This window comes from Homo sapiens, chromosome 11, assembly GCF_000001405.40.
Source record: "Homo sapiens chromosome 11, GRCh38.p14 Primary Assembly".
NCBI lineage: Eukaryota > Metazoa > Chordata > Mammalia > Primates > Hominidae > Homo > Homo sapiens.
Genome location: NC_000011.10, coordinates 114,848,799 through 114,874,675, shown reverse-complemented (window position 1 = coordinate 114,874,675; position 25,877 = coordinate 114,848,799). Strand labels below are relative to the sequence as shown.

The 25,877-nt window shown below is 42.3% G+C and overlaps 1 long non-coding RNA gene across 1 annotated transcript in view; it reads left to right on the top strand.

Annotated features, from left to right (window-relative positions):
* Positions 1–1,909: 1,909 nt before the first annotated feature.
* LOC105369506 (uncharacterized) overlaps positions 1,910–25,877 on the top strand; it is a 95,796-nt gene continuing 71,828 nt past the window's right edge. Inside the window, exon 1 of the long non-coding RNA XR_948042.3 lies at positions 1,910–1,995. This is a non-coding gene — a long non-coding RNA (uncharacterized LOC105369506). The remainder of the gene's footprint in view (positions 1,996–25,877) is intronic.

Below are 25,877 nucleotides of genomic sequence, written 5' to 3'. Positions count from 1 at the left end.
AGAGTGTTGATTTTCCCACCAGTTATAGAGAGAGGTGATCAGTGGAGTTCAGCAGTCAGAGACATTATAGAAATTGATAACTGCACCACTGAAGAGAGTGCAACTGCCCTAGGGCCACCCAGAGCTGTGTGCAAGCCGGCAATTTGCTGCATGGGCTTTACTGTCTAATACTGCTGGAGGCATCCAAATTCCAGAGATCTACCGAGCAGTAAGGGCAAGACCACACAGATCAACAGTCACCAGCATGGCTTGTGTGTGATGCGCCCCAGCTCTTTGGGGGTACTTCTTTTATTTATTTATTTTTTGAGACAGAGTCTCACTCTGTCTCACCCAGGTTGGAGTGCAGTGGCTTGATTTCAGCTCACTGCAGCCTCCCCCTCCCATGTTCAAGCGATTCTCCTGTCTCAGCCTTCCGAGTAGCTGGGACTACAGGCGCATGCAAGCACATCTGGCTAATTTTTGTATTTTTAGTAGAGACGGGGTTTTAACATGTTGGCCAGGCTGGTCTTGAACTCCTGACCTCAGGTGATCTACCCGCCTCGGCACCCCAAAGTGCTGGGATTACAGGTGTGAGCCACCGCGCCCAGCTGGGGGGTACTTCTATAGAGACACCAGAAGTAAGGAAGACTGAGGCCTTGGTGGATACAAGTAAGACTCTTACAATGGTTGAATTGCGGCCTTCCAAGCTGAAGTTGCCTTTTTCTAATGTGATTTCTCCCTCCTAAGCTACCAGGCTTCCAAGACAGGAAGCAGGTCTTATTTATCTTTATAGGTGGAAGATGCTTAAGGATGATTACAGTTATTTGTGTCCATAGGTGACAGCCTCTTCCTTTGATTATATGTCCTTTTGAAATATTAATTATTTTTTTAAATTATGGCAACATATATATATAATAAAATTTACCATTTTATCTATTCTAAGAGCCTATTTCAGTGGTATTGAGTACATTCATTTTTGTTGTGCAACTATCATCATCATCCATCCTCAGAAATTTTTCATCACACCAAACTGAAATTTTAGACACATTAAACACTAACTCCTCATTCCTCCCTTTCCCCAACTCCTGGCAACCACCACTCTACTTTCTATAAATTCCTATAAATTTGACTATTCTCATATAAGGAGAATCATGTGGTATTTGTTCTTTTGTGTCTGCCTTATTTCACTGAACACAATGTCCTCAGGGTTTATTCCTATTGTAGCATAAAGCAGAGCTTCCTTCCCTTTTAAGGCTGAATAGTATTCCATTATATTGCCGGGCATGGTGGCTCACTCCTGTAATCCCAGCACTATGGGAGGCAGAGGCAGGTGGATCACCTGAGGTCAGGAGTTCGAGACCAGCCTGGCTAGTGAAACCCCGTCTCTACTAAAGATACAAAAACTAGCTGGGTGTTGGTGGTGCGTGCCTGTAATCACAGCTATTTGGGATGCTGAGGCAGAAGAATCACTTGAACCCAGGAGGCAGAGGTTACAGTGAGCCAAGATCGCGCCACTGCAATCCAGCCTGGGTGACTAAGCAACACTCTATCTCAATAATAATAATAATAATAATAATAATAATCCATTATACCACATTTTCTTCATTCATCTGTCAATGGAGATGGGTTGCTTCTACTTTTTGGCTATTGTGAAAAATGCTGCTGTGAATATGAGTGTCTACAAATTTTCGTCTGTGTTGTCTTGCACATTATTTCTTCTGTGCCCATCTCATCATCCTCTTAGCTCTCTTTACCTAACTCTTATCTATTCTTCTGATCTCTTTGTAAAAGTCACTGCCTCCGAGGAGCCCTCCATGACCCCATAGACCAATTTAGTTGCCTCTTCCAGGTGCTTCCATAGCTCACCACAGCACAGTTCATTAATATTGTCTCTTTGTCTTTCCCACTAGCCTGTCTGCTTCCTGTAAGAGGGGCACCACCTGTCCAGCTTTCCATCATATACCTAAGACCTGGCACTGTGCCTGGACCACGGAAGCCCTAACAAAATGTTCAACCGTAAGTACATGTTCCGCAAGCCAGGCAGGGAGGAAGGTGCAATGTGTGCATCTGTAGGCGGCTTGAAGTCTCCCGTTCTTACCTGGCACTTCTTCCCATTTGATCGGGTCCCGTCTCCAGGTATCTGCCGAATGCTTCTTACGTGCTGTGCTAAGCCTTGATGATGTGCTAACACTTTGCAAGTTGTGTTCCCTGGACTCCTGGGGCATCCAGGCCAGTTGAGGAGACAAGGGCTCAGTCTGCAGAACCACATGAGGCAGAATGTGATGAAGTAGCAAAATGAGTAGCAGAAGCACACTCAGAAAAGAGAGAACACATTAGTATCCTATGGCTGTTACAGCAAATGACCATGGACTTAGTGGCTTAGAGCAATTCACATCTCTTTCCTTACATTCTCAGAAGTCAGAAGTCTAAAATCAAGGTGTTGGTGCAGCTGCATTCCTTCTGGAGGCTTCAGGGATGAACTTGTTTCCTTGCCTTCCCCAGGGTCTAGAAGCTGCCTGCATCCCTTAGCTCATGGCCCCTTGCCCCAGCTTCGAACACATCATTCCAACCTCTGGTTCTCTCTCTTATTTATTATTATTTTTTTTTTTTTGAAAAAGGGTCTCACTCTGTCACCCAGGCTAGAGTCCTGCTGGAGTGATATGATCATGGCTCCTGGGCTCAAGGGATCCTCCCACCTCAGCCTCCCAAGTAGCTGTGACTACAGGCACACACCACCATGCCTGGCTATTTTTAAAAATTTTTTGTAGAGACAGGGGTCTCTCACTCTGTTGTCCAGGCTGGTCTTGAACTCTTGAGCTCAAGCAATCCTCCTGCCTTGGCCTCCCAAACTGCTGGGATTACAGGAATGAGCCACCGTGCCCGGCCCCAGCTCATTGTTCTGACCCACTCTCTGGCTCTCTTAGGAGATTGTGATTACATTGGGCCCACCTTGATAAACTGGGATGACCTCCCCATCTCAACGTCTTTATTAATCACCCACAAAGTCCCATTTGCCAAGAAAGGTAACATATTCACAGGTTACAGAGAGTAGGGTGTGGACATCTCTGGGTGGCCGTAATTCTTCCTACCACAGGGCGTTTTACACGAGCCAGACTAGGGAGAGACCTTGCTAACAGCAGGAGTAATGTGCAGGTTGCAAGAAGATTTGGGGGAGCTGCGGACACTTCAGCTGAAAAGGTGCAGGGTGGCGTGGGAGTTAGAATGTGGAGACAATGGCTGGTTGGGAGAAAAAGGTTTTGGTAAAGGAGGTGTCATAAGGCAGGGTGGGTGTGGGAAGGTGCTGAGGACATGCGTCCAGATTTCCGAGGACCCTGACTGCTGGGCAGAGCCATCTGGCCTTGGTTGGGTGGTCATAAATCCCCCCCGGGCAGTTTCTGTGCCAGTGTTCTGCACTCTGTTGGCTCAATCAGCTCTGGATCACCTCCCAGCATCCTTTTTTACATGCTTTTTAATGAGCACTAAGATGGAAGTGGAATAAATCTCCCCAGATACTTATGTGAGCACTTTAGTGGCCATTCCCCTGGCAGCATAGGTAACAGCGAGTAAATAAAAGTGACACCCAGGAGCTGTAGGGCCTTGGTTCAGAGAGAAGTGCTCAGCTCTGAAGTTTGGTGGCCAGCACGGGGCCAGGGCCCACAGGAAAACTGTAGAGCCAGCTGCTTGTAGAGAGCTCAGGAGATGACAGAAGGTATCCTGTGTCCCCAAGGATGTACCTCTGCATTCCTGCCTCTATCAGCAGGCTGGAGAACAAGACCTGGCTGGGGAGTGGTGGTGGGGTCTTATTCCTGCTATGATTTCCTTTTCTCTTGTCCTCAGCCTACGGATAGGGTCACCGGCAGAAACAGCAGCTGCTGGGGCCATGGTGAAGGTCTCAGCACTTTTTGTTGCCAGAATCCAGCCCCCGTACCACCTGGTGAGGGGCTTTAGGGAGAATGTGAGGTGGGGCAGTGTGGACCCTGGGCTAAGTTCTCATGGTGCCCTCTAGCTTCCCTCTTCTTCCCTCCCCACCTCTCTCCAGGCAACAGCCAGATACCCAGGGCCTGCCCACAGGTCTGTCTGCTCTGCTCCCACCAGTCTGTCTGCTGTGATCCTGTATATGTCATGCCTGGCCCAGATTTCCATAATATTGCTGGGAAGTGAACATTGTTAGTTTCAGCACTAACCTCCTTTCTAGCTAAGAGCCCGCCTAGTTCTCGCAGCTTGAAAACAGCCAGTCAACTGTATCCTAGACCTGACTACATTTCCTATCTCTGCAGTTCAAGGCGTGACCACCCAAGTCATAAGCCATCAACATCTTTTTGGTCTAGGAAGCACTTCCTAACCACTCTCACTGTTTCCCCTCTAGATCCTATTGAATTAATTCTCATGTGGCAGAATTAAAACAAAGTAGATCACATCATTCCCCTACTTGAAGACTTCAGTGGCTTGTCTTCTCCCTCAGAATAGAATCCAGCTTCCTCTCATAGCAGGCTAGACCCTGCACCATCTGTCCCCTTAATCTCACCTCCTCTCACTCTCCTATTCTCCTTCCAGCTGCCTAAAGATACATTCTGGTCCTGAGATACATCAGGACTGCTCCCTGCGTAGGACGGGCCTTCATTCTTGTTTCCCCTCTGCCAGCAATGCCCTTAGTCCCCATCTCAGAGCAGCTCATTCCCGCACTTCACGTAGGCCTCTGTGTGAATGTGACCATCTCCTGGCCACTCACATCTAAAACAGAGCTTCCTTCCTCCCACTCTGCACTATGTATCTTTGGGGCATTCCCTGACATCTGACATTATATGACAATATATTTGTGCTCCTCTGTCTCCTGCTAGAAGGTAAGCTCCATGGAGGCTGGTTTTTCTCATCCACCCTGTGTCCTCCATGGTCAGTACAGTGCCTGGCCCAGAGTAGATATTTCATACATATTTGTTGAATGAATAGATGTGAAGAAATAATTTACTTCTTAGGCACTGACTAAGGCCATTACTTGCCAGAGACTATGACAGGTGGACAATGTTTATTCCTTGTCCCTAGGAGTTTATAGCCTTCTGGGTAAAGATAAGGAGATGATATATATATATATTTTTAATAAATATATGTATATATGTATGTATATGTGTATGTGTATATATTTATATGTGTATATGTGTATATATAGGCAACGTATATAAATATATAGGCAGTATATATATAGAGAGATTTATATATATATATTTATATATTGAGGCCAGGAGTTCAAGACCAGCCTGAGCAACATAGCAAGACCCTGTCTCTAAATGTATATATAAAGCATTATCACAATAAAACATTTATCACAATTAAAATGCTGTATTTAAAGCATTTATCACACTGTAAATATATATATTTATATATAATATATGATTATCATATATTTATGTATAATATATGATTATTATATAATATTTATGTATAATAGATAATTATAATGCATATTTTTGTATAATGTGTAATTATAATGTATGTTTATATATAATTATATATTTATGTATAATATATAATTATAATATACAATATTTATGTATAGTATATATTTATAATATGTAATTAGTATAATATATAACACAATATATAACATGTATAATATATAATTATTATAAAATATTATAAAAATATATATAATATTTACAGAGTATGATAAATGCTTTAAATACAGTATGCACAAAGTAGCACGAAAATCAAGTAAGATGACAATTTTTCTTCAAGGTCTAAGGAAGTATTAGATAAAAGAGATGGATTTGAACTTGAGCTGAGCCACCTACTTATCAGTGGAAGGTCTCTGAATAGTCCTTAGGAATAATTGGTTGCTGATAAGTCCTGCACATTAGCCGTAGCCATCTTGGATAATTTTGCCCAGAGTACTCAAGGATGTCCATACTTCAAAAGGTGGGTGGAAAGTTACCAGAGTCTCACACTGGTTTCCATTGCAGAGGGAGCTTCACCCTGTCAAAACTGACGGCCTCCCCAGATCCTTATCAGGGCTTAGGGTAGGTGGCAACTGTTCCTAGGACCTCACCAGAGTAGAGGACCTTCTCTGTGTGTTGCCAAGCCTTGACGACTCACTGTGAGGGCTCCAAGTGCTCACCTTGTGGCCAATGCTGACCCAAAGAGCCTGGCCCTGTGATACAGAGAATTGTCCCAGCTGTGTCATACTGGGTGCTGGAGGCTGGTGTGCAGGAGTCCAGGGAAGCCTCTGTTGGCTGTGAGTGGCTCTGGGAGGCTTCTCCAAGCTTCCATGTGTCTCTTTCAAGAATCAGTAGGAATACTGTGGTGCAACTCCCAGAGGTAGCATCAGTTCCTCAGTGCTACAGAAGCTTCTACCTGTTAGCTCTGTGTCAGCCCCCTAGGAAGCAACTATGCTGCCGAAGAGGCACCAGTGCTGAGGATCACTTGCAGAGCGTGGTAGGAGAATGGAGAAAGCATCCCAGCCATCTCTGCCTAATCAGCAAGGCTGTCTCTAGGTGGGCTTGCTTGCCCAGGATGAACTTTGAAAATAGCACCCACTGTGAACATAGAAGGATGTATCGATAATCACCCCATATATTTCTCAGAGGTTTTCACACATGTTATATAATTTGGCTCTCACAGCAGTCTTGGGAGGTAGTTATGTATTTTACCATGGTTTGTTTTGTTTTGTTTTTTTGGAGGCAGGGTCTTACTGTATCCCCCAGGCTACAGTGCAGTGGCGCAATCATAGCTCACTGCAGCCTCAAACTCCTGGGCTGAAGCCTTAGCCCTCCCTGTCTCAGCCTCCTGTGTAGCTGAGACTATAGGCATGCATCACTGTGGCCAGCTAATTTTTAAAATCTTTTTTTTAAGAGAGAGGATCTCGCTGTGTTTCTCAGGCCTCAGGCTGGCCTTGAACTCATGGCCTCAAGTGATGTTCTGCCTCAGCCTCCTGAGTAGCTGCGATTACAGGCATGAGCCATGATGTCTGGCTCTTACCATGTCCTAATTAGTATTTTTCCCATTGCGATTTATTATAGAAATTCTGGAATATATCAAAAGACATAATGAATAAAATAAAAATCACTTGTAATCCCACCATGCAAAGTGTCTATGTTAGTGTATCTCCCACCAGGCTTTTTTTCTAAGACATAAATGTATTAACAGATGTTAATTTATTCATCATTCTGCTCCCCCCAAATCCAGCTAAGATTGTCTCAAATTCCCATACCATGGCCCATAGAAGTATGTCTGGAAATTCCTAGAAAGGCCCATGATCTCCCTCCTCTGTCCCATAAGATTTCTAAGTTGCAAGCCACAGAGGCAAACTCAGGCAAAAATGAAAGTTATCAGGAAGTGTGGGATAGCTCACTGAATTGAGAAAATAACCTAAAAATACCACCTCAGAAAGGACAGAAACTAAGTATCAAAAAATAATGGATGATTTAGAGCCTATTACCATTGTGATAAATGGACTTGTGCCTTTTTAGTCTTTCTTTCAATCCACCCAAGATTCAAATTCCAGGTACAGTATCTGATTGGTCTGGATTGTTTTATCTGCTCACAACTTAGCCACGGCAAGTCAGGGCTCCTGGCTTGACAATCTCACCAATACTGCATTCAACTGCAGACACTGGCCAGATGGGATTGCTATGTAACTAATAAGTGGAACAACAGAAACTTGACTCCCTTGTCTCAAAAATCTATCTTTTGACCACTAATCTATTGGGGAAAGAAAGGATCTTTGTGTATACATCTTTCTTTCTATGGAATACCCTTTTAATCCCCTGCACTCCCTTGACTTGGCTAACTCCTACTCATCCTTTTCCACTCAAACCTCAGTTGATATTTTTATACTCTGAGATATATTTCATGACCCCAGCCAAATATGAAGTAGATCCCTCTATTTTGAGTTCTTAGAGCATCACATGGGTCTTTCTATGTAAAAGGTAAGTTCCTTGAGGGCTTCAATACCGTTGATCTACAGGATCTAATATAGGAACTGGTATGTAGAAGGTTCACCCAAAATATTGAGGAATGACTTCTCTGACAAGAAAGAAATGTGCTCAGAGGATTTGCTTAAAGAAGGGAAAAAGGAAGGGAAGGAAACTGGAACTGACCTCAGAAGGGGAAAGGACAGATGATTTAGGAGACAGGAGAACATGATCATTGACATGAGCATCCCCCACTAAAGAGAAAGACCCACACCTATGTATACTCCCCCAAAAGCACAAAGGACAGAGCCATGCGAGGGAATTCCATAGATAATTATAGCCTGAAGCAATTGGCCAAACTGAAGGTCCTGTGGGGTAGCCCTCTGCAAAAGTGTTGCAGTGTTTATCCAGGAGACTGGAAGGAGGTTTTGCCCTCATCTCCAGTCATCTGAAGAAAGCAGGAATGTGGGACATGGAAATGGCTGCATGGGCTTTGGCAAAGTCCAGTACCAAAAATAACAGAGTTGAATTTTATGGGACTGCTTGGTTAAATGTGTTTCTCTATGCCTGTTGTGCTTACAAAATGTGTATGGATGCCTCACCCAAGCTAATGGGATAGACCTCCTTAGGTAAACAATAACCACTAACATTTATGGAGATGCCAGGCACTATGCCAAGGCACTTTTCATAAACAATTTCACTCCATCCTGTGGGCATACTACAGCCTGGCTTGATCAATGGTCATTGTACCCCTTCTAGAATTACTTCTAATACTACGGCAGCTAGCTGAAAACTAGACTTCCCAGAATGCTTTACAGGGATGCTTTAGTCAATGTGATTTTGGTTCATCCAATCAGGAGTTGAAACTTGAACTCCTTACTGAATTAAGTGGGGAGACAAAGAGTGGTAAGTGAGCCCATTTTTCTAATGGACGGATCCAGGTGGTCTAACAGTTGGACCCTGGAGTTGGCAGCTGTGGTGATGGCTTTCAGACTGCTGCATTTCAGGTGTTCTTGGAGCCAGCAATTCCAAGTGGTTTTCTCATTCTTGGATTACATCTAAGGTGATGGGATCCTGAATTCAAAAATTTGGGCAGTGACCTCCTGTTTCCCCAGCTTTCTCACTGTCAGATGCAAAAGTTATCTTAGTGGGTCAGTACAGTGGTGGTACTTTAAAATTTGTTTGTAATGGCTGAGCCTAGAGCCTGCTCCTCCTATTATCCCACAGTTCTGTAAGCACCTGATTCCCTGTGTTCAATCCTTTTCCGCTTAAAATACCTGGAACGTTTTATGCTTTCTGCAGCTGAACTTTTATTGAGCCATGTAGTATTTTCCCCCATTTCACAAGTAAGAAAACTAAGGCAGAAAAAAATGTTACATCACAGAACTAGTAGGTGTGGAACTTGGTTCTGAACTCAGGAAGTTTGTGTGAATTCAGTATCTGCTTACCACCATGCAGGAATAGGCGGAGTGAATGTCGGGCTTTCATCCTGTTATTATTTACTGGACACCTTATATGTGTCATGCAATATGTTAACCTCTGGAGCTATTATAGTAAAAAAACAAAGTGGAAAATTCTTCATTTTACTTCTCTTGACTTGTAATGGAAAGTAAGTTATAAGTACATTTAAATAGTGAGATATTTTGCTACAGGCTTGCATTGGAAAGAGGCATGTAGCTTTCAAAAGCAGACAGTCTGTATCAAAAGCAGCTTGTAAAAGAGCTAGTTGCTAAAGGGATTCAATTCAAATTTTGGCTTACACATAATTCAGTGAAAATATTGATAAGAATGAAAGAAGAACGCTAAGAAGAAAGGAAGGAAAGAGTGAGTTCGTAAATAGGTTGGCATCCTTTTACTTCAGGAAGCTCTTTGATGTGCCTCCTGCCCACCCCCTACCCCATCTCCAAACCAGTAGCATTAAGTGACTTGAGCACTTTCATTCCCATTTGGGATTCTGCCCTATGGAAAACGGAGAAGGTAAATTATGAGTAGGGGACTTGAAAGGAGATAGCTTTTTCCCGCTGGAAATTTCTTTCTAGTGCTGAGACAGGAAAAACTTGGTAGTTAGGTTGTGTGAGATGTCTGAGCACTGCTGACTGAAGGAAAACTCTTGAGAAGCAAAAGATTCTCCGAATAGAGGCTTAATCTGCTGTTGGCATAAGAAAGACTCCAGGGACATTAATATCTGGTGCAGTCACAGAGTCACAGAAGCACTGGAGCCATAAATATGCCCCAGGAAGGAATTTTGACTCTAAGTTTCAGGATTGAGAGTGATTTGAAAGAAATGTACTCAAGGTTAGGGAGAAAACCAGGGAGACATAATCGATAATAATGAATAATTAGAGACTCAAAATTTCCTGGGGGATTAGGTTTCATTTTCTTTAAAGACTTGTGTCTTTGGACTATCAACACCTCCTTTGACATTTATTTAAGGAATCATATTTTCAGGAGCAAGAAGCTGTATCTACTGGGTGCCCAGATGCCCAGTCCACATGTTTATCCCTGAAATATCTAGAAGGCATTGTGCCCTAATTGCTGGCCAGCACCCAGAGGAAATAAAGAGTTTCATTTGTGCTGGATTTGTGGATCTAAATGGAAAGATGGTGGAAACATCATACATTTTGTAGAAAATCAAGTAAAAAATTACTGTAAAAGAAAATATTAAGGCAAATACGGACTTGGAAGATGTTCAAGTGAAGCCTATGTGCCAGGTAGATGGCTTCATTTGTTTTAAGGAAAGAGGGATCTATGATCCTTTGCTGTCAATTCATCAGTTGACATTTTTAGACACTTGCTATATATCACTGAGGAATTTCTCCTTCAATCACTCAACTCAATTCAAAATGTAGAGACATGATGAACACCTACTATCCATCAATAAAATAGGTATTCACTTCCTACTATGTGCTAGGTTCTGAGGAGTACAAAAGATATGTCAGTCATATAACTGACATTGGAAAATGAACATAAATGAAAGACATATAACTATTTCTTTCCCTCCCCTTCCTGAGGGAGAATTATTCTTTTCTTCCTCCATTGAAGTCAGACTTTGCCTTGTGACTTTGGCCAATGAAAGGTAAGGGAAAGTGATGTGTGTCACTTCCAGGCAGAAACTCTAGGAGCCCGTACTTGCTTCACCATAGCCTCTTTTCCCTTTACTGTGATGACTGGCAATGTTACAGTAACAGCTCCTTTGTCAGCCTAGTTTCTGCAGTACAGCAACGTGAAGTTGACTCCTAACTGTGCTAGGAAAGACGTGTCGTGAAAGTGAGAAAGAACCCTGTGCTTTTGTAAGATGTAATGTCTGAGCTTACTTGTTACCATAGCATAACTTAGCCTAATCTGACTTCTACACGATGGCTCTAGAAAGCTAGCATTTATTGAGTATATCCTGAGCATTGAATATATCCTGAGCATTGTGCTGTGGGCTTTATATGCATTATTTCATTGAACTCTCGTAAAAACACCATGAGGTATATATTATATGATTTCTATTTTATAGGTGTTGAACTGAATCCCAGAGCTAAGTTCAGACTGTTATTTAGTGTTGAAGTTGAATTTCAGAATCTGGTTTGCTTGGATCCAGAGCTCATAAGCTTAACTACTATGCCATACTGCCTTATATAGTAGAATGAATATAATTGAAGATCATTTTTGGAATAGACTGTAAGTTCTCTGGGCAGTTTAGAAGAGGAGTGATCAATAACCATTAAAACTTCTTGGGAAGAGCTTTATGGAAAAAGTAAGAGTTGAAAAATGTGTAGGTTATAGATAGGAGAAAAGGGAGCTGAACTTTTTAGAATGGGGAGAGAGAGGCAAAAGACCTCAGACCTCATCTGTCTGGATGAAATAAGGCAATACAATGGATATGCCAAACCCCTGGAAATTAGTTTAGTCTACCCTTAAGAACTTCACAGTCAGAGAGTGGTGATAAGGTGTTTACCCAAATTACTATCATAATTCAGGCAAGCTCTATTAGGAGGCATGCTGGAATTCTGTATAATGTGTGTTAAGATGTATCAAACCAAGACTAAGCAGAAATCTCTTCACCAATGTAGGATAGGTATTTGGAAAAAGACGGCTGCTGCAGAGAAGGCAGCCCAGTGAGCCAGATGTACCTAGCAGTCTTTGTCTCAAATCTGGAAGGTTCTAAATGCAGAAAAAATTCAACTAGACCCATGGTATATGCCAAGAGAAATAATTCTCTTATCACTCATGACAATTTCCAGCTGCACTAGGCCAGAAGGCCTAGAGGGACACCAAAGCTATTTCGTACATCCTGCCCCTGTGGAACTGGCTCAGGCATGGTATGAAACTAAGGTTTCCTGGGAGCCTTTGTGGGGGATACATAAAGAGAAGTGTTTCTGGGTCTCTTACCCATCAACTCCAGGGATTGTGATTTAGGAGGCCTAGAGTGGCACCCAGGAAGCTTCATTCTTTTGCCAGGAACTCATGTAATTCTACTGTTTATGGTATTGGAACTTCATTTTAAAAACATGTGACAATAACAACATCAAAAAAACCATACACACCATTTTTCTGGAAGTTAAGAACATTAACTAAAATATAAAAAATAATATGATGAGTTCCTTTAAAGACGTAATGCTTTAAAAATTCAGTGAAAAAAAATAAGTGGGCCAGGCGCAGTATCTCACTCCTGTAATCCCAGCAGTCTGGGAGGCCGAGATGGGCAGATCACCTGAGGTCAGGAGCTCAAGACCAGCCTGGCCAACATGGTAAAACCCCATCTCTACTAAAAATACAAAAAATTAGCCAGGCCTGGTGGCGCAGGCCTGTAATCCCAGCTGCTCGGGAGGCTGAGGCAGGAGAATTGCTTGAACCCGGGAAGCAAAGGTTGCAGTGAGCCGAGATTGTGCCACTGCACTCCAGCCTGGGCAGCAGAGCAAGACTCCACTTTAAAAAGAAGAAATTAAGTGATCAAGCAATGTAATGCCAACTAAGGGAAGTGATAGTTGCAAAAGGTGGTGGCCAATTATACACTGCAGAGAGGTCAAAGAAAGTCGGAACTAAGAAGAACCTTTGAAGATGTCAATTAAGAAAAGTTCAGTTACGTAGGGAGTAATTTGAATTAATTATTTGTAATGGGAGCCAGAAAGAAAGATGTTCATGGCTGGCTGGGTGGTGATGAGAGGAAATAGCACTTAGAATAGCTGGGAATAAATGATGCAGTTAATAATTCAAGGAGGTACCTGGGTTCAAGGAAAGTGCTTTTGTTTGTTTTCACTTATTAGCATATGGGGGACTTGAGCATGTTAACAGTCTAAAGGGAAAGATGCAGAGGTGAGGAGTATTTGACAATATGAGGGAAAGTGGAAAGAACTGGTGGAGTAAAACAGCTGGAGCCCAGGAGAAGGGCTTTCTTTGGACAGGTAGTAGAACATTCTGTTCTCCAAGAAAGGAGAGAAGAGTAGAAGATGCATGAAGGTAGAGAGTTTGAAGTACAGAGGAAGGAGGGTGAGGCAGTCATTGCTGATAACTTCTCTTTGGAGGCAAAGACAGTAAGGGACAGAAGAGAGTGGCAATGGTTTGGAAGGACTGCTTTGGGAAGCCCAGTAGAGTGTCTGCAAAGTTAAGGTGATATACTTGGCCATTACGGTCTATTCTGCTCTAAAGAGTTAATATTGAATTTTTCCAAGTTAAAAAAATAATGATTATTCTTATAAAACTGCCGCCATTATTATTGTTAACATAACAATAATATGATAATAATAAATAATATGATAATACATAATTCAAATTGTTATTATTGTTATATTAACAATAATAATGATAACAGCAGCCTGGTATGCACCATTAGGACCTCTATGATTAATCTAGGAGAACAGCTCACAAAAAAAAAAAATGCACTCTCACCCATCCTTCTGGAAATAATCACCTCGCTGTTGGGCCTGTATCTGGTAGCAATTTTTTTTTTAATCAGAGGGGCCACTGAGGAGTAATTGTAACTTTTCCTTTGCAGAAAGAGTCTTACAGCTGCTCACCAGCTCTGCAGCCCCTGAATTCCTCAGCAATCTGTATGACAGAGCTGCCCCTTGGGTTTCTTATTGAGTAGCTTTATTGCAAGCTTATAGTAAATGTCTTATTAAGTCCAGATGAACAGAGAGGCTAGATTTGCCTCACTGGGACCAATTAAGTGGGGCTGGACAGACTTCCTACAACCCTTCCAGCTGTCAGACTGTACTACCAAAGAGGCTAAGTGACTTGTCCAAGGTCACATAGTAAGTAGCCAAGTTGGATCTTAATCCACATTGCCAGGACCACTGCTCTTTCTTCTGCACCTTGAAGAAGAGCTTATACACAGAATGTTACCAGGAAGTGCCTTCCTATAAACAAGTAAACCCTTTTATTGTCTTTTTTAAACCACTAGCTTCAGGTTTCCCTCTTCAGTGGAGGATAAATGCTCAAAAACATATGGCATCCAGACATGGGCACAAAAAATGTCTGTCGGTGTTTTTAATCATTTAATGTTTTCCTATCATGGAGGGTATTAGGTTTCTATTGCTGCTGTAACAAATTACCACAAACTTAACAGCTTAACACAACACAACTATCTTCTCTTAGAATTCTGGGGGCCAGAACTCTGAAATACGATTCACTGGGCTAATGTCAAGGTGTCAGCAATGTGGAGTTTTATGGACGTTCCAGGAGAAAACTTGCCTTTCTTTGCCCTTCCCAGCTTCCATGGGCAGGCTACATCCCTTGGTGCATGCCCTTCTTCCTCCATCTTCAAAGCCAATAGTAGAACACCTTCAAATCTCTTTCTCTGTTTCTGTGTCTATCATCTCTCTGACTCTGACTCCTCCTGCTTCACTCTTATGAGAACCCTTGTGGTTACCTGAGGCCCACCCAGATCACCCAAGGTAATCTCCCATCTCAAGATCCTTAACTTCATCATATTGGCAAAGTCCCCATCACCATATGAAACAACATCCACAGGTTCCAGGGATTAGGATATGGACATCTTGGGAGCCATTATTCAACCTACACCACAGAGTAAGGAACAAATACACACTATTGTAGACACGTATCAATAAATCAACTAGCAAGTGTTTATTAAACATTTACTATTTGCCAAGCTGTAATAGGGAAGGTATAAGAAATACATATCAATATAAAACATGTTCTCTTCCTTCAAGGACCTCCCACTATTGTTAGGAAGAGGAAATGAATACTTCTGAAACAAGTATATTCTAAACTCTAGGATACTAACTATAAAGGCCGTAGGGCTACAGAAAATTCACTTGAGTTGAATAGGTTGGAACAACTCATGAAATTTTCATGGGGAAAACAGAGACTGCAAATAGATACGTAGAACATAGGTGGGGCAGGAAGCGAGGGAGGCAGAGATGCAATTCTAAATGACCTGGGCTGTAAGAGTTGAGATGTGGCCACAAAAATGGAACAAGGCTGAGACACATAGAGATTTCCCCAGATCTGGGGTAAACAAACTATGGGCCACAGGCCAAATGCAGTCCTCTACCTATTTTTATAAGTAAAGTTTTATTGAAATACAGATGTGCTCAGTATCTTTGGCTGTTTTTGTGCTACAATGGCAGAGATAAACAGTTGCAATGAGGACAAAATAGCCCCTGTGACGGTTAATTTTAGGTGTCACCTTGACTGGATTGAGAGAAGTCTAGATGGCTGGTGAAAGCATTGTTTCTTGGTGTGTCTGTGCGGGTGTTTCTAGAGGGAATTGGTGTGTAAATCAGCAGACTGAGAGTAAAACCTGCCCTCAATATGAGCAGGCATCACCCAAACAGCTGGGGCCCAGCTGAAACAAACAAGTAGAAAAGCAAGGATTCTCTCCCCTTCCCCTTCCCCTCTCCTCTTCCCTTCCCTTCCCTCTTCTCTTCTCTTCTCTTCTCCTCTTTTCTCCTCTCTTCTCTAATCTTCTCTCTCTTCTTTCTCTCTCTTCTCTCTCTCTCTGTCTCTTTCTCTGTCTCTCTGTCTCTGTCTCTCTCTCTCTCTTCCTGATCAGGATGCCTTTTTTCTCCTGCCCTTGGACCTCAGACTTCAGGATCTTCAGCTTTTTGATTCAGGGACTTGCACTAGTGTCTCCCAGGGGCCCTTGAGCCTTTGGCTTTGGACTGGGGGCCGCACCATCAGCTTTCCTCATTCTGAGGCTTCTGGTTTCAGACTGCGATGCACTACTGGCATCTGTGGTTCTCCAGCTTGACAATGGCTGACTGTGGGACTTCTGTGCCTCTGTGATCTTCTCTGCCACTGTGATCAATCGTGTGAGCCAATTTCCCTAATAAGCCCCTTCTCATATATCCTATTGTTTCCCCCTCTCTGGAGAACCCTGGCTAATAACACCTGCAAAGCCTAAAATATTTACTGTCTGACCCTTTATAGAAAAAGTTTGCCATCCCCTTCCCTGGATGAGGAATACTCACTGAGGCCCTTGAGTAGGAAAGGCACTAGAAAGGACTCCAAGCAGAGACACCCCGTTGAGGAGACCACACCAGCTGAGGCCTCTCTTTAGTTCAACTTAACACAATGGTTTCTGTCCTCAAAACTTCCACCTGGCACTACATTTTCCAGGCCCTCTCCTGAATTTTGCATTGGGTCCCCCTGGTATTAGTCATTGGCTAGTGAAGTCATGCTTGGGAGAGAGCCAGGTGGAGGCAGGGACAACACAGGGAATAAACTTAGGAGGCTGGTTCTTTGGGTTTCTGGGCTTATCATTCTTGGCTTCTGTATCTCTGACGGCTGATCGTGGGACTTCTTTGCCTTACGGAATGTAAACCAGATCATCCAAGCCCTCATCTGCTAGCCTGGTTCTTGAAAAGATCTCGTGGATGACAGATACCTCTGATACAATCCTTAGAAGAAGTGAGCTGCAACACAGCTCAGGATGTATTTTTGTAGTTGTTTCAAGAGGACAGGTGTGTTGGTGTATATTCAGAGTGTGAAAGTGTGATTCCTGGAAGGCTCAGGTCAAGGATTTAGTCTCCCCATTAGTTTGCTGTATTCCATTCTTCTGAATGCAGCCCCTGTACCAGCCACACATTTCATAAAGGCCTCTTGTATGTCAGAAAAGGGACTGGACAAGAGAAACAGCACGATTCACTTAGCAGATGCCTCCCTACTCCTAACAACTGAGTTTATTTGTGTGTTTAACAGATATTTATTTTGTACATAGACTGTGAAGAAAACAACGACAACAACAAAATAGTCCCTGTCTTCCCAGGAACTCTGAACCTTACTTAACTACAGAAAGATCAACACAAACACGCAAGGAACAGTTAAGTAAGAAAAGAAGGCAGAATGTGATAAAAACGTCAAAGTGAGGGAGACAGATGGCAAGCATGATAGGAGGAGTTTGCAGAAGAAGGAAATGAATGTGAGGTAGATGTGCACAGAACAGTTTGGGAAAGGCTTTAGGGAAAACGGAATTGGAACTAGTCTTGAAAAATCAGTCAAAGCATTCAGATTGGGAGAGTGGAAATGGAATGCATTCATTATGGAAGGAAAAGAATGATCAAAGCTTGGAATTTTAATTATGAATAAAATCTAGAAAACAAACGAATAGCACCATTGGGAAGTTAGGTTACTAAATCGTACATTCAAGGTACAAAATATTGCAGAGAGATAATCGTACCTACAACAGTCTTCCTTTGGGTTTAAGGCCATTGATCATCGGTCAAATAAATATGAGCTGAAAAATAGTGATAGATGACAATGTATGGTAATTGTCAAATGGCTGGCATGAGCAGTAACTACCATAACCAGGACATCCTGATGGGAATGGTCATGGCTCTCTGATGGAATATTATTTTTGAAAAGTCAAGTGTACTTTGTCCAGGCACTACATGGTTTTTGCTGATTATTACTTTTGCTTGCTACCACCCAAGGGTGAAAGGGGAGATGAATGTACTCAGCTCTTACTGTTTACAGCTTTGGGACCATAGACCTTGTTTCCCAATTCTTTCTAGACTTCCTCCCCAGAGCTGTGTTGTCTAGACCACAAGTTCTAGTCTAAGTTCAAGAATAGGCTAGAATGATGCCTTGAACTCAATTCAAGGTTGTTTTTATTTGGATTGACAACAAAGTATTGCAATGGATAAAAACAAGATAAGCAGAAAGGTGAATGTGTAAGGCTCTCCATTGTACCTCTGATTGTCAATAATACGTACCTAAAGTACAGTTGACTCGGCAGCGCACTGCAGCCAAATGTGCTCCAAGTTGAAGGAATCAGGGCTGTGGACTCACTGCCTTCGTTATCCACAGACAGAACAGCACCCTCAAACAATGAATGCCAAATATTTTGCTAAGAAAGCCATGTCTCCTAGACCTAATAACCATGATCTAGAACTTGATGCTCTTGATTAAACAACACTGAAGCTATCTCTCTTATGTGCACCTGCACTACAGGATTTAAGAAATGTTCAATTATGTCCACTTTGAGATTTCTGTGGAGATGCCTAGCCTTAGCCTATCACATAAGATACCAGTAACCTCACACATTTCCTACTCATTAGAGGGCAAGAAACCATGCCAATGTGAAAATTCTCTATGTATAAGCTGTATATAGAGAACAAGGTCAAATACAATGCAGATGAATATAAGGTTGTAGTGTTGTCCTGCTTGGAAGGTGTCCTCCACAAGGATTTCCTCAGTTCTGGGTTATTTCTGCTTAGTAATCTCATTTGACACTGATGACTTTTACTTTTCCAGACAATGCCAGATTATATTTTCCAAAGTTGGCTGCACCAATAATTTCCCATCACACATGATCTTCTACAAGGTAATCTCAAAGCATTCCCATCAAGAGGTAACCAAGAGAATGTGGTGGAAGTGATGCTTCGTAACTTTTTAGGTGAGGTCAGAAAAGGTCATACAGCATCTACCTGACTCTCTTAGAAAGCTCACTTTTAAGATCCTCCCTCTTGAAACCCAGACGCCATTCTGTAATAAACCCAACCACTTGGAAAAGCCATATGTAGGTGTTTCAGTTGACAGTGCTGGCGGAGCCCAGCCTTTAAGCCAGTCATGGACGTGTGAGTGATGGATGTGTGAGTGATGAGTCCTCCGGATTCCTGCTCCTGGGGATTTTGGTCACTCCAGCATTGGAGTCCTCCCAGCTGAGGACCAAGACATGGTGGAGCAGAGACATCTCCATTGGCCCTGCCCAAATTCCTGACTCACAAAAGCTGTTATAATGAAATGTTATTGTTTTACACCACTAAGTTTGGGGTGGTTTGTGGAACAACAAGAATAACTAGAACATAGACCCAACCACAGATTTGAGCTAAAAACAAAATCCTCATTTTGCTTCCTTTTTCATATTTGTCCAAAGTCCAGTTTACTCTCAATTAATATTTTCCAGCCCTTTCCTTGAATATCTTAATGCATTTTTTCTTTATTAGCTCTTTCATGTCTACACTAGGATTGCATGTGTTTTTATTGTTAAGCTTCTTATTCTTTGATGAAGAAACAAGATGAAAACTATGTATTTTAAAAATGGCTTGGTATAATCCAGTCTACTCTGTCCCTTCTAAAATTACTAGGAATGCTGCGTATGCTTTTAGGATCATACTATAAAAATATACATAACTTGTGATGTGTTTAACAGAGAGTAACTTTAAATGTTTAGGGACTTTAAATGTAGTGATTGAATGACTGAAAGAGTAAAGATATCTCCAGCTGGAGTAAAAAAATGATAAACTATTCAGGAGGTGGGGGGCGGGGTGGTGAATTTGAAATCACTATTATTAGAAATGAAAGCCTAAGAAGAGAGATGAGTATTATTTTGTTTGGGCTTTAAGGGCAAAACCAGGATCAGTGGATAGGATGACAGGCAGATTTTATATCAGCGTAAAGACTTTCCTAACACTAGAAATGACTAAGATAAAATGGACAGTTGTAAGAAGTGAATTTCCCATCACTGGAGATTTTAAAGCAATGACTGAATGTCTACTTGATAAGAATGTTGTAGAGAAAAATCGTGCATTGAACAGGAAGAAGCAGAGGGTGGAGAGTGGCAGGAAGACATGGATCTTTCTGGTCCCTCCCAAGCCCAGGAGTCTATGAATGCTTTATGTTACTTTAGGTCCAGTGGGAAAATGGCAGCATCTATTTATAGAGCTATTGATGTCAACAGTGATTTCTGCCAGAGGTGTGAGTCTTTGTAAATGGTGCAAGCTTTGGGGTGAATAAATGGACAATTCAGTGGAGAGGACCCATGGATCAGAATGAAGATGAGCAGAAGGTAATTAAATGAGACATGTATCAGTAGGAGGGTTGCCAAGTGTAACTAAGTTAAACTTTGATTGTGATTGGAAGGTGAGGAGAACATGACTTCTATGCTTTCCTCTGGGGTTGTTCGAAATAAGGAAATATGGTGGAATGGGGAGGATAGGACAAGAGTCTGTGAGTCAACAAAACTCTGCTCAGGAAGGAATATCAGAGCTTGCTTGGAGTGACTGTGTTCTTAAGTTCATTAACAGAACAAAAAAATCAAAAGTGATGCTGGCGCTGATTGAAATAAGCAGATGGTTAAAACCACCTGTGGGAGAACCTACTTTTGCCAAGTCAAGAAACAGCAGCACCCACTCAAGCAGAGCCTGAGAAACAGAGTAGGCTGGTGTATTTGTTTCCCAGGGCTATTGCAACAAAGTCCACAAACTGCATGGCTTACAGTAACAGAAATTTATTATCTCACAGTTTGGGAGGCCAGAAGTCTGAGATCAAGGTGTTGGCAGGGCCATGCTCCCTATGCAGGCTCCAGAAAAAGAACCCTTCCTTCTCTCTTTGGTGGCCACCAGCAATCCTTGCTGTCCTTTGGCTTGTAGCTGCAACACTCCAGCTCTTCACATGCCCTCCCTCTTCACATGGCCCTCTCCCACATGTCTGTTGCTTCACATGACTCCAAAGAAGGAACCAGTCACTAGATGCAGTGCCCACCCTCATGCAGTATGACCTCATTTTAACTAATTACATCTGCAAAAACTCTATTTCTGAGGAAGGTCACATTCTGAGGTTCTGTGTGGACATGCATGTTGGGGAGACACTATTCAACCCAGTACAATTAGGAGCCCCAAATTTTGTGAAATAGCACCTGAAACCAGTTGAAAATAGAAAAGGGCACCAATCTGTGTCCACGTTATTCTTATTTTAAAAATTTTGACTTACCATTTTTCTCATTTTAGCAACAACTATAGCTAATACTTACTATTTCCTATGTGCCTTATACTGTGCTAAGCTCTTCACATGAATTCTCTCACTTAATCGTTATAAGGTGGGTGCAATTACTAGCCCCATTTTATAGAAGAGCTCATGGAAGATTAGAAAGGATAAGAAACCTGCTTAAATTCACTTCAGTGATAACTACCAGGAGGCCCCGAGTCAAGATCTGTGTGACTGGAAGTCTGATAGAGACATGTGCGTGATTACTGATTAATACATATTTATATTGTTATTTTTCTGAAGTCATGTTTATATTAACATCATAATTGGGTGGAATATATGAATTAATCTCAAGATTCTCAGTTATCTCTGCTTGACAAGGAACTTATTCTTTTGAGCATTTGTTATCCATTCACCTCATGGTAACTACGTTGGACTGGAAGCATACTGTCTCAGAGGGATCGACCCTACTACAGTATGGGAAGGAGTCTAAATCTGGCAAAATGAAAGTATTTTCAAAACATCTATGTTTACACACAGCATATGTAAATTACCTTGGTACCCAATCAAAAGGGAATTGCCATTAATAAGGGGGTGATTCCTCACACGATTATTATTACTGTCATTAATTTTTTAATCATAATTTTTAAGACATTGATTATCAGCCAGGGGGATTTTGTCCCCCAGGGGACACTTGGCAATGTCTGGAGACATTAGTTGTTGCAACTGGGAGGGAGGATGCTATTGCATCTAGTGGGGTAAATGTCGGGGATGCTACTAAACATTCTACAATGCACAGCACAGTCCCCCCAACAATGCAGAATTATTGGGCCCTACATCTCAAGGGTGCTGAGGTTGAAAAATGCTATTTTAACAGTTTGTGGTAAAAGAAGGTGCTCCTTAGGGGTCTCACTGCTAAATATAAGGTTTCACTGCTTTTCTCCAGGCCTCTGACACTTAGTAAAATTTTTCATGATCTCCAAACTAGTGACTACTCTCTCAGTACTGATGATAATTGATAATGATGGTTAATAGTTTTTGAGTTCTTACCTCGTGCTAGGCATTGTTCTAAGCGCTTTTCATATATTGACTCAATCCTCACTGTTAGTAATGTGCCATTATTATTCACATTGTACAAATGACTCTTTTAGTAATGTGCCATTATTATTCTCATTGTACAAATGAGGAAACTAAGGCACAGACAGTTTGAGAAACATACCCAAGGCTACAAAACTAGTGTGGGGCAGAGGCAGGATGCTACCGTGCTTTCATTCCTTTCTCCTTCCTCCAGCAGTGGACCAGTCTGATTACCTGGGTACATATCCTGAGGAACAATGCAATGGGTGGGAGTCATACTCCCATTGAACAGATGGGGAATTGGAGGCATTAATCGGAGGAGGAAACAGGGACATTGCCCATGGGTATCAGGCAAAACCACTTTCATGGAGTGCTCAGCCATGGTTGTTTCCAATTCACATGTTGAACATGGATTTTTTTCCCAATAAGTCTTGTCTGAGAGAATGATGTACCTAGTAGAGTTTGAATAACTCTAGTAGTGCCACATGAATACTGCTGGCTGGATAAAAGGATGCATGCACGCATGGATGGATGGATAGATGGCTGAATACTGAGCCACTGGAAGGGTTCAAGGAATGGTGCATTGGTGCATTATGGCAGAGGGGCTTTATTCCTAATACTACAACCATGATCAACAATTCCATGTTCTTAAAGGTGACAGCAAAGCTGGGAGCCTGCAGAGCTGGAAAAAGCCAGAGACCAGAGATAGAAACAAAACCTACAGTTTGCCCGAAGCCAAGTATCATAGAACATGTGGGCCCTTATTTGTCACAGCCTGGAAGTAACTCGCCTTTAACGTGTTTGTATTTTCGTTGTCCTTCTAAACCAGGGTTTCTCAACCTCAGCACTACTGGGATTTATGATCTGATAATTCTGTGTTTGGGGGCTTTCCTGTGTATTCTAGGATGTTTGGCTGTCTCCCTGGCTTCTGCCCACTGAATTCTGATAGCACCCACCCTACCCCAAGCCATAGCAATCAAAAATGTCTCCAGACCCTTTAAAATGTCTCCTAGAGGGCCAAAATTACCCACAATTGAGAAAAATTTTGTATACCTAGTTCCTACAGGACAGAGTTTGGGTTTCCTCACCTTATTGTCTATTGTAGAGCTTGGCGCAGTTATTTAAACTTCATAAATGTCTGTGGACCAATAGATTGCTTATCTCCTTTGGCAGGGAAAAAGTCAAATTCCAGGGAGAAAATGCAGAAAACAATAATGAAGGGAAAGAGAAAGGAAGGAAAGAAGAGAGGGAGGGAGGGAAGCAGGGAGAAGGAAGGCTACTTGTAAATAACAGCGATGCTCCACCCATGACCCCTTCATGTGCTGGTGGCTCAGCAGCAGATATGAAGAAACTCTCCAACTCAGCAAGGAGCTTCAGGTGACTTCACCTCATGAACCAGAAAACTCACACTGTTTTTGTATTCACGTTGTTTAAAGGGGACCAGGGTTGTCTTTTTGCGTGCATGGATGTGTGTGTGTGTGCGAAAGTATAATTACCCATCACTGATTAATCTTCAGACTGAGTCAAGCATTCATTGCAAATCCTTGAAACAAACAAGTCTATTTATATTTTAATTATTTTTTTGGATTTCAAGTTGATTTGTCTTTCTTCTGCATATTTATGAAGCTGTTGATCCATGGTAACCTTACCCTTACCTCCTGTGGAACAGGAGGAAGAGAAAGAAAAAGACAGAGAAAGAAACACAAAGAGCTGGCTTTACCCCTTTTCTTCCCTTCCCTTCCCCAGAAGCCATAGCATTCCCACAGCTCTAGAGGACAGTGAGGACAATACAAGAACAAAGGCAGTTTTTTTCAATTAAGGTGTAATTAATTAATTAGGACCCCCTGCCCATGGCTGTCATTCTTATTTAAGGTGACCTCAGCTCTTGCTGAAATCTGATTTTGGTCCTGGTTCCCTCTGCCTCCTTGTTACCATTATCTTCAATCCTTCTGCGCCTTTATTACAACCATGTTTTCGTAAGAAATTAATTTTTTTCTTAAATCATGCAGATTTTTAAATAAAATTTGATCAATGAATTTGAGTTATTGGAGAAATTGTGCAGTTTTTTTTTCTGCCGGACAGTCCACAGTTCACAGATGTAAAAAGCACAAATGCGAGGCCAAGGGTTAGCTGTTCACCAAATTGGCAAGTGGATCTACAGTCCCACCTCCAGCGATGATCCACTAACCTGTGCCAAAATGGCAGCACGTTTAAATAACTGGGTCCAGTGGCTCAAGAGTATGCTAGGCACTACCTAGTTAGTGCTTTGTCTTCTATAGTAGATTATTTTTCAGCAAATCCTCATTCCCACTGACTGACTTCCACGGAGGAATCCGCTTCCCAACCCAATGGGGTTGGGCTTGGCCATTTGACTTGCTTTGGCTGCATGGTGAGAGGAACATGCTTTCTTATTTCTTGCTGAGGCCAAAGGGATGTTAACAGATGTGATGCAAGCTGAGGCTTGGGTTCATATGTTCCTGACTATCACTGTGAAAAGAGCATGCTTTGGGAAATTGCTGGTCCAAAAAGCATGAGACAAACATCCTCATTGAACCAGATCTGCAACTTGTAGCTAAGCGCAGCTGAGCCGGTTCTAGATCGACTAAACTCCAGCTGCCTGTCAGATGTGTGAGCAAGAAATTAATGCTCATAGTTTTATGCCACTGGATTTAGGGTTCATTGTCTTATAGTTTCAAGATGCCTCAGCACACTCAGCTTTATCAAAAATGCCTGTTAGACATAGGATCTTCTGTTAGAGCCAGATCTCAGGAGACCATAGTCTGCCCTTTCACAGCACACAAACAGTGGCTTATCCAGGTCCATCATATTATTACAAAATTACTATTATCACTATTATGTAATAACTGTTTGCTTAAAACTATTTTGCTTTCAATGTATTTGAAACACTTTGCTTATCTAACACATTAAAGCTATAAAGTCATATAACTTTCCTCTCCATTTCACAAGACAGAAGATAAGCTCAGAAGACTGGACCTATGTTGAATGGTTTGGCTAGGATGACAGAGTCAGTATGAGGAAGATCTTGGACCTAAGTCTTCTCTTTATGTCACTCTTTTATCACTCTGCATTGTCAGTTGTACATACACATTAAATTGAGTGGTGACAATTTGTTAGGAGACAAAGTAGGTCTTCAGTTTTCAATCTTGCCCCCTCTGCAGCCCCCTTCAGCCCTGTGGACATGGGCCAGACACACGGCATCTCGACCTCTTGGGACGTGTTCTCAGACGGAGAAGACAGAAGTTTAACAGTTCACCCTCCAGCCGGGTGTGGTGGCTCACACCTGTAATCCCAGCACTTTGGGAGGCTGAGGTGGGTGGATCACCTGAGGTCACGAGTTCGAGACCAGCCTAGCCAACATGGTGAAATCCCGTCTCTACCAAAAATACAAAAATTAGCCTGGCACGGTGACGTGCACCTGTAATCCCAGCTAATCTGGAGGCTGAGGCACAAGAATTGCTTGATCCCAGGAGGTGGAGGTTGCAGTGAGCCGAGATCATGCCACTGCACTCCTGCCTGGGTGACAAAGTGAGATTCCATCTCAAAAAGAAAAGAAAAGAAAACAAAACAAAAAACAATTCACCCTCTTTCGTCCCTCCTTCCTCGCCCTACCCCACTGCCTACACACCTAAGAGAGACTACATGTCTCTGAACATCATGCAGTTCTATTCTGAAAGGTCAGTCCCACTGAGGGTATCCTAACATCAAATTATCTCAAGAGATGATAACAGAGATCAGCAAACT